The following is a 12,962-nucleotide window of genomic DNA, read 5'->3' on the forward strand; positions in this document are numbered from 1 at the left end:
TTTTAATTTTTTTAGTAGAAACGGGGTTTTGCCATGTTGGCCAGGCTGGTCTTGAACTCCTGGCCTCAGGTGATGCGCCCACCTCAGCCTCCCAAAGTGCTGGGATTATAGGTATGAGCCACCATGTCCAGCTCCTTTTTTCTTTTCTTTTTTTTTTGTAGAGAAGAGTCTCCTATTGTTGCCCAGACCGGTCCTGAACTCCTGGCCTCAAGTGATCGTCCCACCTCAGCCTCCCAAAGTGCTGGGATTTACAGGTATGAGCTACCGTGCCTGGCCCAGTTTCCTTTCCTTATTGATATATAAGAGCTCTTTGCTTGGACAGTAATTTTTTCTATTACATACATATATAAAATATTTTTTCTCAGACTGCTACTGTCTTTTAACTTTGTTTATGGTATCTATTGGTATGTAGAACCTTTCATTTCTATGAGTTTAAACTGTCACATTTTCTCCATTATGACTTTTTTTTTTTTTTTTTGAGACAGAGTCTCGCTCTGTCACCAGGCTGGAGTGCAGTGGCACGATCTCGGCTCACTGCAATCTCTGCCTCCCAGGTTCAAGCGATTCTCCTGGCTCAGCCTCCCGAGTAGCTGAGACTACAGGTGTGCACCACCACGCCTGGCTAATTATTGTATTTCTAGTAGAGATGGGGTTTCACCATGTTGGCTAGGATGGTCTCGATCTCTTGACCTCATGATCAGCCCGCCTCGGCCTCCCAAAGTGCTGGGATTACAGGCGTGAGCCACTGTGGCTGGCCTTTTCTTTTGGTTTTAACAGAGATGGGTCTATGTTGCCCAGGCTGGTCTCAAACTCCTGGGCTCAAGCAATCCTCCCATCTCAGCCTCCCACTCCATTATGACTTTTTTTTTTTTTTTTGAGATGGAGTCTCGCTCTATTACCCAGGCTGGAGTGTAGTTGCTCAATCTTTGCTCACTGCAACCTCCGTGCCCTCCTCTGCCCCTGGGTTCAAGTGATTCTCCTGCCTCAGCCTCCCAAGTAGCTGGGATTACAGGCACACACCACCACACCCAGCTAATTTTTGTATTTTTTTAGTAGAGATGGGGTTTCGCCATGTTGGCCAGGCTGGTCTCAAACTCTTGACCTCAGGTGATCTACCTGCCTCGGCCTCCCAAAGTGCTGGGATTACAGGTGTGAGCCACCGCGCCTGGCCTAAGCCACTGCACCCGGCCTCAATATGACTTTTAAGTTTCTTATTACACTGAGAAACACCTAACTATCCTAATAGAATTAAATTTCCCTAAGTTATAAGACACTTGAATTTTTTAAAAAGAGATAATTAAATTTCTCCTATATTTTATTTCATTTATTTTTTCAGTCATGCTCCTTCTGTATCTCCTATATTTTATTATATTACTTACATGGCTTTATTTTTACAATAACTCTTTTTTTCCCTTCTTTTATTTATTTGTTTATTTTTGGAAACAGAGTTTCCTTATGCTGCCCACGCTGGTCCTGAGCTCAAGCAATCTTCACGCCTCAGCCTCCCAAAATTATAGGACTACAGGCATGAGCCACTGTGCCCGGCCCACATTAACTCTTTAATTCATCTGAAATTCACATATGTATACAGTTGAGGCAGAAACCTACTTTAATTTTTTTCAAATAATTGTCTCATTATACCCTAATTCTATCACCAATCATTTAAAAAACTATCTTTCTTGGCCAGGCGCGGTGGCTCACGCCTATAATCCCAGCACTTTGGGAGGCAGAGGCGGGTGGATCACGAGGTCAGGAGTTCAAGACCAGCCTGGCCAAGATGGTGAAACCCCGTCTCTACTAAAAATACAAAAATTAGCCAGGCACAGTGGCAGATGCCTGTAATCCCAGCTACTTGGGAGGCTGAGGCAGGAGAATTGCTTGAACCTGCGGGGGGTACGGAGGTTGCAGTGAGCCAAGATCATGCCACTGCACTCCAGCTTGGGCAACAGAGTGAGACTGCCTCAAAAAAAAAAAAAAAAAACTATCTTTCTTATATATCAAATTACCACATATACATGGGTTTCCTGTGTTACCATTAAAAAGTTAATGAAATCCTAGCACTTTGGGAGGCCAAGGCAGACGGATCACTTGAGGTCAGGAATTCGAGACCAGCCTGGCCAACATGGTGAAACCCTTTCTCTACTAAAATACAAAAATTAGCATGGTGGCATGGTGGCAGGCACCTGTAATCCCAGCTACTCGAGAGGCTGAGGCAGGAGAATCACTTGAATTGGGAGGTGGAGGTTGCCGTGAGCTGAGATCATGCCACTGCACTCCAGCCTGGGCGACAGAGAGAGACTCCATCTCAACAAAAAAAATTAATGATCGCTGGGTGGAGTGGCTCATGCCTGTAATCCCAGCACTTTGGGAGGCTGAGGAAGGAGGACTGCTTGAGCCCAGGAGTTTGAGAACAGCCTGGGCAACAAAGCAAGACCTCGTCTCTACCAAAAATTAAAAAAATGGCTGAGTGTGGTGGTGCATGCCTGTGGTCCCAGCTACTGGTAAGGCTGAGGTGGGAGGGTCACTTGAGCCCGGGAGGTAGAGGCTGCAGTGAGCCATGATCATGCCACTGCACTGCAGCCTGGGAAGAGCAAGACCCTGTCTCAAAAAAAAAAAAAAAAAAAAGTTACCAATAATAATAATGGAGGAAGAGAAAAAACACTGGGCCCTGGAGCGAATACTGTACTTTCTTACCCTACCTCCTGCTACCTTCCACTCACCTTGCCCAAAAGCTCTTCAAACTCCGGGGACCATTCCTGCATCAGCGTGTCAATGTCGGGCATGGGCCTAAAAGTATAAAGGTAAATATGAACAAGAAACGTGAACTGATAACATCAGCAACCTCTGGATCAGCATATTCTAGGATGAAGGAGAGGTCTTCAATCTGGCACATCAGGAAGGCTTCAGGAGAACCTAGACTGGGCATACCAAAGTTACCCAGGGCCTGGGGTTTGGAGGAGGTAGCTAAGTAATACTAGAGAAATTACAATCTTTATGTCTACAATCTCAGCCAGTAGTTGCCAGGATCCACAGGACCTCAGGTTGATCAAATATGTTCCCAGCCTCTGGGCCTCTTCTCAGGAGCAACAGTTCACAGGTAGTGAAGGTTACTATGTGTTACTGTTGCAAAGAATGTGGTATTTCTTACCTGGTGTAGTGCACAGTCGCAGGGGGCTTAGAACGGTGTAATTCAGAGATGCTCTCAATCCACGTGTCAATGGCTTTGGGATTCTTTTCTGCATCTTCTAGGCTTTTTACTTTCATATGTTGCTAGGAAAGTAAGGAGAAAGCCTAGCTGATGGCACTGAAGTAGCTCTCTTGTTTTTACAGTGTCTCATTATATCTGCTGCTGTTTCATATTCGAGCTTGCTGATGACAGCTGCTGCCACGTGAAACAGTAGCCAAATGAAGGGGATAGAAAACCCTGATAAAATCTGCTGCAGCCAGGCCAGGCATGGCGGTCACACTTGTAATCCTAGCACTTTGGCAGTCTGAGGTGGGAGGATCAGTTGAGGCTAGGAGTTCAAGACCAGCCTGGGCAACATAGTGAGACCTTGTCTGTACTAAAAATTTAAAAATTAGCCAGGCATGGTGGTGTGTGCCTGTGGTCTCAGCTACTTGAGAGGCTGAGGCAAGAGGATCACTTGAGCCCAGGCGTTTGAGGTTGCAGTGAGCTACGACTGTGCCACTGCACTCCAGCCTAGGCAAGAGCGAGATCCTGTCTTTAAAAAAAAAAAAAGCCAAGTGCAGTGGCTCACACCTGCAGTCCTAGCACTTTGGGAGGCTGAGGCAGGAGGATCACTTGAGGTCAGCCTAGACAACATAGGGAGACCCTACCTCTATAAAATAAAAATTAAAAAAAAAAAAAACCTAGCCAGGCATGATGGCACACACCTGTGGTCTGTCCCGGCTACTTGGGAGGCTGAGGTAGCAGGATTGCTTGCAGATCGAGGCTACAGTGAGCCCCAATCACACCACTGCACTCCAGCCTGGGTAACAGAGCGAGACCCTGTCTCAAAAAAAAATAATTTGCTGAAGCCATGGAAAGGCAGCAGGTCAAAATGGCAGGACTGACCATAATGAAATACCATTTAGGCTGGGCTTGGTGGCTCACACCTATAATCCCAGCACTTTGGGAGGCCGAGGTGGGTGGATCACCTGAGGTCAGGAGTTCGAGACCAGCCTGACCAACATGGAGAAACCCTGACTCTACTAAAAATACAAAATCAGCTGGGCGTGGTGGTGCATGCCTGTAATCCCAGCTACTCGGGAGGCTGAGGCAGGAAAATCGCTTGAACCCGGGAGGTGGAGGTTGTGGTGAGCCAAGATCACGCCATTGCACTCCAGCCTGGGCAACAAGAGTAAAACTGTCTCAAAAAAAAAAAAAAAGAAATACCATTTCACACCTACTAGGATGGTTAGAATGAAAAATACAAACAAAAAGTATTGATGAGGATGTAGAGAAACTGGAACTCTCATTCATTGCTGGTGGGAATGTAAAATGGTACAGCCACTTTGGAAAACAGTTTGGTAGTTCTTCAAATGGCTAAACATAGAGTTTCCATATGGCCCAGCAATTCTACTCCTATGTATATACCCAACAGAATAACAATATATACCTACACAAAAACTTGTATACAAATATTCAAAGCACCATTATTAATAAGAGTGGACAGAACTAGAGAATGAATAAAGCAAATCTGGTAAATCCATACAGTGGATATTATTCAGCCATAACAAAGGAATGAAATAATTACCAGGGTCTAGGAGGAAGTGGGAGAATGAGGAGTGAATAGTAATGGGTATGAAGTTTCTTTTTGAGGTGATGAAATATTCTAAATTAGGTAGTGGTGATGGCTACAAAACTGTGATTATATTAAAACTAATAAGTTGTACAATTTAAAAGGCTAAACTTGCTGGTATTTAAGTTATATATAAATAAAGCTGTCATTTAAAAATAGAGCTGGCCCAAAGCAATAACCATCTCTTTTTTTTTTTTTTTTGAGATGGAGTCTAGCTCTGTTGCCCAGGCTGGAGTGCAGTGGCATGATCTCGACTCACTGCAAGCTCCGCCTCCCGGGTTCACACCATTCTCCTGTCTCAGCCTCCTGAGTAGCTGGGACTACAGGCGCCCGCCACTACACCCTGCTAATTTTTTTTTTTGTATTTTTAGTAGAGACGGGGTTTCACCATGTTAAGCCAGGATGGTCTCGATCTCCTGACCTCATGATCCACCCGCCTCGGCCTCCCAAAGTGCTGGGATTACAGGCGTGAGCCACCGCACCCAGGCCCATCTCTTTTGACAGGCAGTAAGTCAACTGTATGAGTGCCAGCAAGGCCTCCTCCACTCTTGGCCCTCTCCAGCTGGGGCCTATACTAAGCTAGTATCTTACTGTGATGTTGTGCTGCTTAGAATTCTCTGTTAACCAGAGTGAGAGCACCGTAGGGTCTGACTGCTTTGTAGAAGGTTCATCCAATACCAATAGGCCAAGGTTGTCAGGCTTTCCATCAGGACGTGGGACCTGGTTAAGAAAAAGGTAAGAAAGCAGAAAGGAAAATGTTTCCAATAAGTTAAGAGGAAGAACACTTCTGGTTCATCATTATTACTAGTATTAAAAGCATGCTTATCATGCTGTACGCAATACTATCCAGAAAAAAAATATTATCCATAGCAGCTTAAATATGAACCTGTTGTCATAGATAATTAGGAAGCAAATACATGACAAACTGTTAATGTGTAATGAGATATTAAGTATTACTTAAGAGCAATGAGTGTAATTTGGAGTTGAGAGCAAGGTTAAGAACTCCAATGAAATGAACATGACTAGCCAATGCTAGTCAAAGAAATTAGGGAAACTGTTAAGAGTAACAGGGGCATCAGAAGAAACACTTAAGGAGTCATTTTCAGGATGTACTGACTATACCTTTAAGAATGCATCAATATCCCCGACAGCTGGGATAAAATCAGGAATGAAAGGCTTCAGTTTGTGGTCCAGGTCAATCAACTGAGGTGTGTACCTAGGAGATATTGCCAAGGGAAGGTGGAGACAGTCAGAAAAAGTTACTTTACTATTCAGGCTAAAAAAAAATCTAAGGGGAATGGCCCTGTTTCAGACTAGAGATAGGAAAGGTTTGGGGCAAGGTAGGGATAGTGGGGTATGGTGGGAGGTCCTAGTACTCACCTACTGATGTACTGGAAGAGTTCCTTAATTTCAGCAGAAACTGGCAAATGCTCATAGTCTGCAGGGTCATAGGCCCTGGGAAAAGGAAAACAGTTTGTTCGAGGTGGCCAGAGAAGAGCAGAGGTGGCAGGGTCCTAGGTGCTGGTGTGTTACTGACTATAGGGACATGATCCTGAAGCTAGCTTCTGCCTCTCCAATATCTGCCTTTCCTGGTGGCTTGCAAGGCAACTTTAAGGTTGATTGTACTTAACTCTCAATTATCTCTGACTCTGAAGGACAGAGGTGCAGAAAATCCAAAACATAATATTTTTTTGATGTTAAAATGTAGCATAAATGGTTTTCCTTTTTTTTAATGAAAGGATGACAAGAAAAGGTAGAACAAGAGATTTTAGGGCTGGGCGTGGTGGCTCACACCTGTAATCCCAGCACTTTTGGAGGCCGAGGCAGGCGGATCACCTGAGGTCAGGAGTTCAAGACCAGCCTGGCCAACATGGTTGAAACCCTATCTCTACTGAAAATACAAAAATTAGCCAGGTGTGGTGGTGCACACCTGTAGTCGCAGCTACTCAGGAGGCTGAGGCAGAAGAATCACTTGAACCTGGAAGGCAGAGGTTGCAGTGAGCCAAGATCGCACCACTGCACTCCAGCCTGGGTGACAAAGCAAGACTCTGTCTCAAAAAAAAAAAGAGATTTAAATATCTGACATGAAAATAGTTTGCACCAGAAAAAAAAAATTATAGAAGTGTTTTTAGCAGTGTTATTATTATTTTTTAAATTTAATTAATTTATTTTTGAGACAGGGTCTCACTCTGTTGACCAGGTTGGAGTGCAGTGACCCGATCATAGCTCATTGCAGTCTCAAACTCCTGAGCTCAAGTGATTCTCCTGCCTCAGCCTCCCGAGCAGCCGGGACTATGGGCACACACCAGCATGCTCAGCTAATTTTTAAAAAATTTTTGGGCGGCCGGGTGCAGTGGCTCACGCCTGTAATCCCAGCACTTTGGGAGGCCGAGGCGAGCGGATCACGAGGTCAGGAGATCGAGACCATCCTGGCTAACACGGTGAAACCTCGTCTCTATTAAAAATACAAAAAAAATTAGCTGGGCGTGGTGGCGGGCACCTGTAGTCCCAGCTACTCAGGAGGCTGAGGCAGGAGAATGGCGTGAACCCAGGAGGCGGAGCTTGCAGTGAGCCGAGATCACGCCACTGCACTCCAGCCTGGGCGATAGAGCAAGACTCTGTCTCAAAAAAAAAATAAAATTTTGTAGAGACGAGGTCTTGCTATGTTGCCCAGGTTGGTCTTGAACGCCCAGCCTTAAGCAATCCTCCTACCTCAGCCTCCCAAAATGCTAGGATTACAGGCTTGAGCCACCATGCCTGGCCACCACCTTTTTGATTTACTCAGCAAAATCTCATGTAACCCCCAAGCCCACAAACGTTTCAGATAGTAAAGTGATACTATAGGACTGGATAAGGTAGTGGAGTCAGAAAGGGAGGAAAACTCATTATTATGTTGGGTTTCTGAGACATCTGAAAATCCTAAATACAGGAGATCAAAAGAGATGCTGGAATTTCACTTCTAACTGACGTCCTCCCACTCCAGTGTTTTGAAGGAGGTATTCTGAAGAGCACCCTTGGCTTGGGTGTTCTTTCCTCACCCTTCCAGAGGGGCTCCATGCTCTTCATCATCATCATCAGAATCAGAATCAGTTTCAGATGAATCATCATCATCATCATCGTCATCCTCATTTTCACTAAAGCCCCGTTGAGGTGTCAACTGTGAGGTCTTCTTCTTCTCCTGTGATAGGGCAGGGCAGGCATAGAAAGCTTCAAGTAAAAAAATCAAATGTACCTATGCCCAGTTCTCTATTGCTCTAACCAATACACCAACCACCTGGCACCTCGTCACCAGAAAGAGAAGGGGGCACTTCCCAGAAGGGGCTTGAGAGCCTTCTTCTGCCCCTGCTCAGCTACAAATGGGGACTCCACTTTCTAGAACCCTATTCCATTTCTCTACTTGAGGCTGGGGTATAAATTCTAATTTTATCTATTGTACATATTACTTAGATCTTCAGGGCCCTGTGTACACTTTAGACAGCTTCGGCCCGAAAAGCTATGGACTTTCAAAGAAGAGGATGGCAACTCTAGTTATTTTGGAAGAAAATCAGGGAATATGAAGTGGGAATAGAAATTTTAGGGGTCTTAATACTCACAAAGACCATAGAGAGGAAATCTAATACTTAATTTGCAAGACTGCCCAGCATAAGCTGCTTGAAACTATCAAAAGAAGAAAGTTCAAAATCAACCTTGTGCCCATCAAACCAGCAGTCCCAGGGACTATGGACTTTCCATTTTTGTTCAGTGATATTTCTCTTCATGGAGTATCTGACCTATCTGTATTTCCCTTCCCTTACCCCATAAATTACATAAAATGACTACACATTCTCTCTCAAGATAAACAGCTCTTTTGTTCTTGACATTATAACCTACCTTTCTGTGCTTCTGGCTCTCTCTGTACCATCCCACCCTCTCAAGTACATGAGAAGGGGTCTGGTGGCACTTGAGACTTGCAGGGGCAGGTGGAACAGGGTCCATGTCTTTGCCTCTGTGGCCTGGAGCCTGTGGCATGCCCTCCCTTAGGACCTGAAGGATGACCAATTGGCCCCCTTTAAAAGTAGGTTTTCAAAACTTGGTTTCTATATACCGTATGGCTTATACTGAGGTTAACACGTTTGATTCCAGTTGTTTAAAATTAATTTGTTTTTATGGTAAAGCAGCTATTGGCACACAAAATTGTGACACGTTACAGGACACCAAAAACTGCTTTTAGTCACATTTTGCTCTAAGAATAACAAATTTATTATACATAAAGTATATTCTAACTAAGCTGTAATATGCATGGCAGATAATGAAACACAGTTGCAGAATTTATTCAGTGACTATGCCTTATTAGTATATGACTGATAAGAACTTTCTAGAGCATTCTTTCTCAATTCAAGATTTGCCAAAATTATCCTTAGTCACATAGGAAGCAGTTTTGGCAGAGGGAACTTTTAAGAATATTGTCAGCCCGGGGTGGTGGCTCATGCCTGTAATCCCAGCACTTTGGGAGACCGAAGCAGGCGGATCATGTGGTCAGGAGTTCGAGACCAGCCTGACCAACATGGTGAAACCCCATCTCTACCAAAAATACAAAAATTAGCCAGGCGTGGTGGCGCACGCCTGTAATCCCAGCTACTCAGGAGGCTGAGGCAGGAGAATTGCTTGAACCCTGGAGGCGGAGGTTGCAGCGAGCTGAGGTCATGCCACTACACTCCAGCTTAGGCAACAGAGCGAGATGACTCTGTCTCAAAACAAAAACAAAAACCATTAAAATGCAGCCATCAGGCTGGGTACAGTGGCTCACACCTGTAATCCCAGCACTTTGGAAGGCCAAGGCAGGAGGATCACCTGAGGTCAGGAGTTCAAGACCAGTGTGGCCAACATGGCAAAACCCCATCTCTACTAAAAATACAAAAATTAGCCAGGCGAGTTGGTGCAGGCCTGTGATCCCCCAGCTACTCGGGAGGCTGAGGCATGAGAATTGCTTGAACCCAAGAGGCAGAGGTTGCAGTGAGTCAAGATCACTGCACTCCAGCCTGGGTGAAAGAGCAAGACTCTGTCTCAAAAAAAAAAAACAAACAAAAAAAACAGGCTGGGCACAGTGGCTTGTGCCTGTAATCCCAGCACCTTGGGAGGCCTCCCAAGTAGCTGGGATTACAGGCACCCGCCACCACGCCCAGCTAATTTTTTGTATTTTTATTAGAGATGGGGTTTCGCCATGTTGGACAGTCTGGTCTCAAACTCCTGACCTCAGGTGATCCGCCCGCCTCGGCCTCCCAAAGTGCTGGGATTACAGGAGTGCGCCACCACACCCGGCCAACATAAACGGTTTTTAAGAAATCATATGTGCAACTCTAAGGTCCTATATGTTTCTAGAGAGGTGGGCCTCTTGCCATGTTTCTTTCAGAAGCAGGGTGATTCTCTAGGTACACAGAATAACAGCAGCCAACATCTGGGTCTTAAGACCTCAAAATTAAAATCTCCTTCACAAAATACTGGCAGTATCACAAGTATTGACAATGAAAAAATGCCTAGACTGATAATTTCAAACTCGCTTTAGCATAAAATTACCTGGACTGCTTCCTAAAAAATATAAATTCCCAGGCTTTTACTTTTGAGATTCTGGGCTGGGACTGGGAATCCGTATATTTAAAAATAAGTACCTCAGTTGAGTATTATGATCAGGAAAGTTTGTGAAACACTGGCCTACATTATGTGAAATTCCTCACCAAAGTCAATTGTAGTAGTAGGCTTTATTCCTGAAGAAGGGTCAAAATCTCAAGGCTCTTTGTAACTGATTTTCCTCCATGAGCTCAAAGGTCCCTAACCCCTGGAGGTGAGTGTTCAAGAAATGTTTACCGTTGAACTGGTGTCATCTCTAACTACTAAAAACCCAAAGCAGAAATTCTACAAGAAGCTGTGAGTTTTACTGTACCTTGTTATTTTCCTCTTCACACTCATCACTGCTGTTATCAGCCATAGCCTTGTTAGGAAGATGGGCAGAACGAGGAAGTCCTTAGAAAAAAAGTTTTTCCTTTAGATTATTGTTAAAATGATTTTTAAAAACAAGTATTTTTTAGTTTTTAATATTTTATGCTCTAACCATTTTATAAAACAAGGTTTATTGGAACATCTGGCTAAAGAGACAGGAGACTGAATTCTAGTCATGGCTCTGCCAGTTCAATTCAAGATATATTTACTAAACATTACTGTGCTTAAGGCATTGGGTTAGACATTATACTATTCAAATTATCTGCCATTACATAAATAATATAAACTCTGGCCAGGGGCAGTGGCTCATGCCTATAATCCCAACACTTTGGGAAGGGGAGGCAGGAGGATCACTTGAGCCCAGGAGTTTGAGCCTAGACTGGACAATATGGCAAGATCCCATCTACAAAAAAAAAAAAAGAAAAAAAATTAGCTGGGTGTGATGCCATGCGCCTGTGGTCCCAGCTACTCGGGAGGCTGACGCAGGAGGTCTGCTTAAACCCAGGAGTTCGAGGCTGCAGTGAGCAGTGTCCAGTGTTCATGCTGCTGCACTCCAGCCCGGGCAACAGAGTGAGAGCCTGTCAGAAACGGAATGGGAGGGGAAGGGAGGGGAGGGGAGGGGAGGGGAGGGGAGGGGGAAAAGAAAAGAAAGAGAAAAATATACACTCTGCCCTTAGTTTACACATTAGTCAAATTAGGTTAATAACTAGTAAAGTACAGAGTGCTGAATTCATACTAAGAGTGGGTTTGAAGAAAAATTACTTAAAATGATTTTGCCTTTTCACCCCCTAGCACTGCTGGGCCGGCAGGTCTCTGTCGAGCCGCAAACGCGGGTCTCTGTTCCGCAGAATGGGGTTTATTAAAGTTGTTAAGAATAAAGCCTACTTTAAGAGATACCAAGTGAAATTTAGAAGACGACGAGAGGGTAAAACTGGTTACTATCCTCAGAAATGCTTGGTGATACAGGATAAAAATAAATACAACACACCCAAATATAAGATGATAGTTCGTGTAACAAACAGAGATATCATTTGTCAGACTGCTTATGCCCGTATAGAGGGGGATATAGTCTGCGCAGCATATGCACACAAACTGCCAAAATGTGGTGTGAAGGTTGGCCTGACAAATTATGCTGCAACTTATTGTACTGGCCTGCTGCTGGCCCGCAGGCTTCCCAATAGGTTTGGCATGGACAAGATCTATGAAGGCCAAGTGGAGGAGACTGGCAATGAATACAATGTGGAAAGCATTGATGGTCAGCCAGGTGCCTTTACCTGCTATTTGGATACAGGTCTTGCCAGAACTACCACTGGCAATAAAGTTTTTGGCACCCTGAAGGGAGCTGTGGATGGAGGCTTGTCTGTCCCTCACAGTACCAAACGATTCCCTAGTTATGATTCTGAAAGCAAGGAATTTAATGCAGAAGTACACCAGAAGCACATCATGGGCCAGAATGTTGCAGATTACATGCACTACTTAACAGAAGAAGATGAAGATGCTTACAAGAACCAGTTCTCTCAATGCATAAAGAAGAGCGTAACTCCAGACATGATGGAAGAGATGTATAAGAAAGCTCATGCTGCTATATGAGAGAATCCAGTCTATGAAAAGAGGCCCAAGAAAGAAGTTAAAAAGAATAGGTGGAACTGTCCCAAAATGTCCCTTGCTCAGAAGAAACATCAGGTAGCTTAAAAGAAGGCAAGCTCCCTCAGAGCTCAGGAGCAGGCTGCTGAGAGCTAAACCAAACAATTTTCTATAAAGATTTTTCAGATAAAGACGATAAACATATGGACAGAAAAAAAAAAGATTTAACCTCTTTGAGTCTCAGTATTCCCACCTCTAAATGGGGTCACTAATATTTCTAACCCAGGCCTCTTATAAGGATCAAGTGAAAAAATTTATGTGCAAGGAACTGACCCAGGGCCTGGCAAATAATAGTCACAAGTTTGAATCCGAATCAGTATGCAAAGATAAGAGCAATTTTTAAATATTCTGAACAATTAAAAGGATAATTAATGACAGGCGCAGTGGCTCACACCTGTAATCCCAGCACTCTAAGAGGCGGAGGCAGGCAGATTGCTTGAGCCTAGGAGTTCAAGACCAGCCTGGGCAACACGGTGAAACCCTGTCTCTACAAAAAATACAAAAATTAGGCCGGGCACAGTGGCTCCTGCCTGTAATCCCAGC

General features: G+C 44.4%; 1 protein-coding gene and 1 pseudogene across 6 annotated transcripts in view; one reads left to right on the plus strand and one right to left on the minus strand.

Moving 5' to 3' along the window:
* The window catches only part of IFT46 (intraflagellar transport 46), a 32,356-nt gene that overhangs the window by 4,523 nt on the left and 14,871 nt on the right, over positions 1-12,962 (minus strand). For 3 of the 6 annotated variants that reach the window (XM_011542905.4, XM_017018017.2, NM_020153.4), the window contains 8 exons: positions 10,720-10,799; positions 8,673-8,825; positions 7,841-7,980; positions 6,183-6,257; positions 5,925-6,018; positions 5,394-5,522; positions 3,149-3,270; positions 2,721-2,787 (listed from right to left, as the gene is read on the minus strand). In XM_011542905.4, coding sequence (XP_011541207.1) covers positions 2,721-2,787; positions 3,149-3,270; positions 5,394-5,522; positions 5,925-6,018; positions 6,183-6,257; positions 7,841-7,980; positions 8,673-8,825; positions 10,720-10,764 — 825 coding nt within the window. In that variant the 5' untranslated portion in view covers positions 10,765-10,799. The remainder of the gene's footprint in view (positions 1-2,720; positions 2,788-3,148; positions 3,271-5,393; positions 5,523-5,924; positions 6,019-6,182; positions 6,258-7,840; positions 7,981-8,672; positions 8,826-10,719; positions 10,800-12,962) is intronic. The other 3 variants (XM_011542906.4, XM_017018018.3, NM_001168618.2) reach the window with 1 other exon arrangement.
* On the plus strand, positions 11,552-12,573 carry RPL5P30 (ribosomal protein L5 pseudogene 30; annotated as a pseudogene).

The sequence above is a fragment of the Homo sapiens genome, chromosome 11 (genome assembly GCF_000001405.40).
Source record: "Homo sapiens chromosome 11, GRCh38.p14 Primary Assembly".
Taxonomy (NCBI): domain Eukaryota; kingdom Metazoa; phylum Chordata; class Mammalia; order Primates; family Hominidae; genus Homo; species Homo sapiens.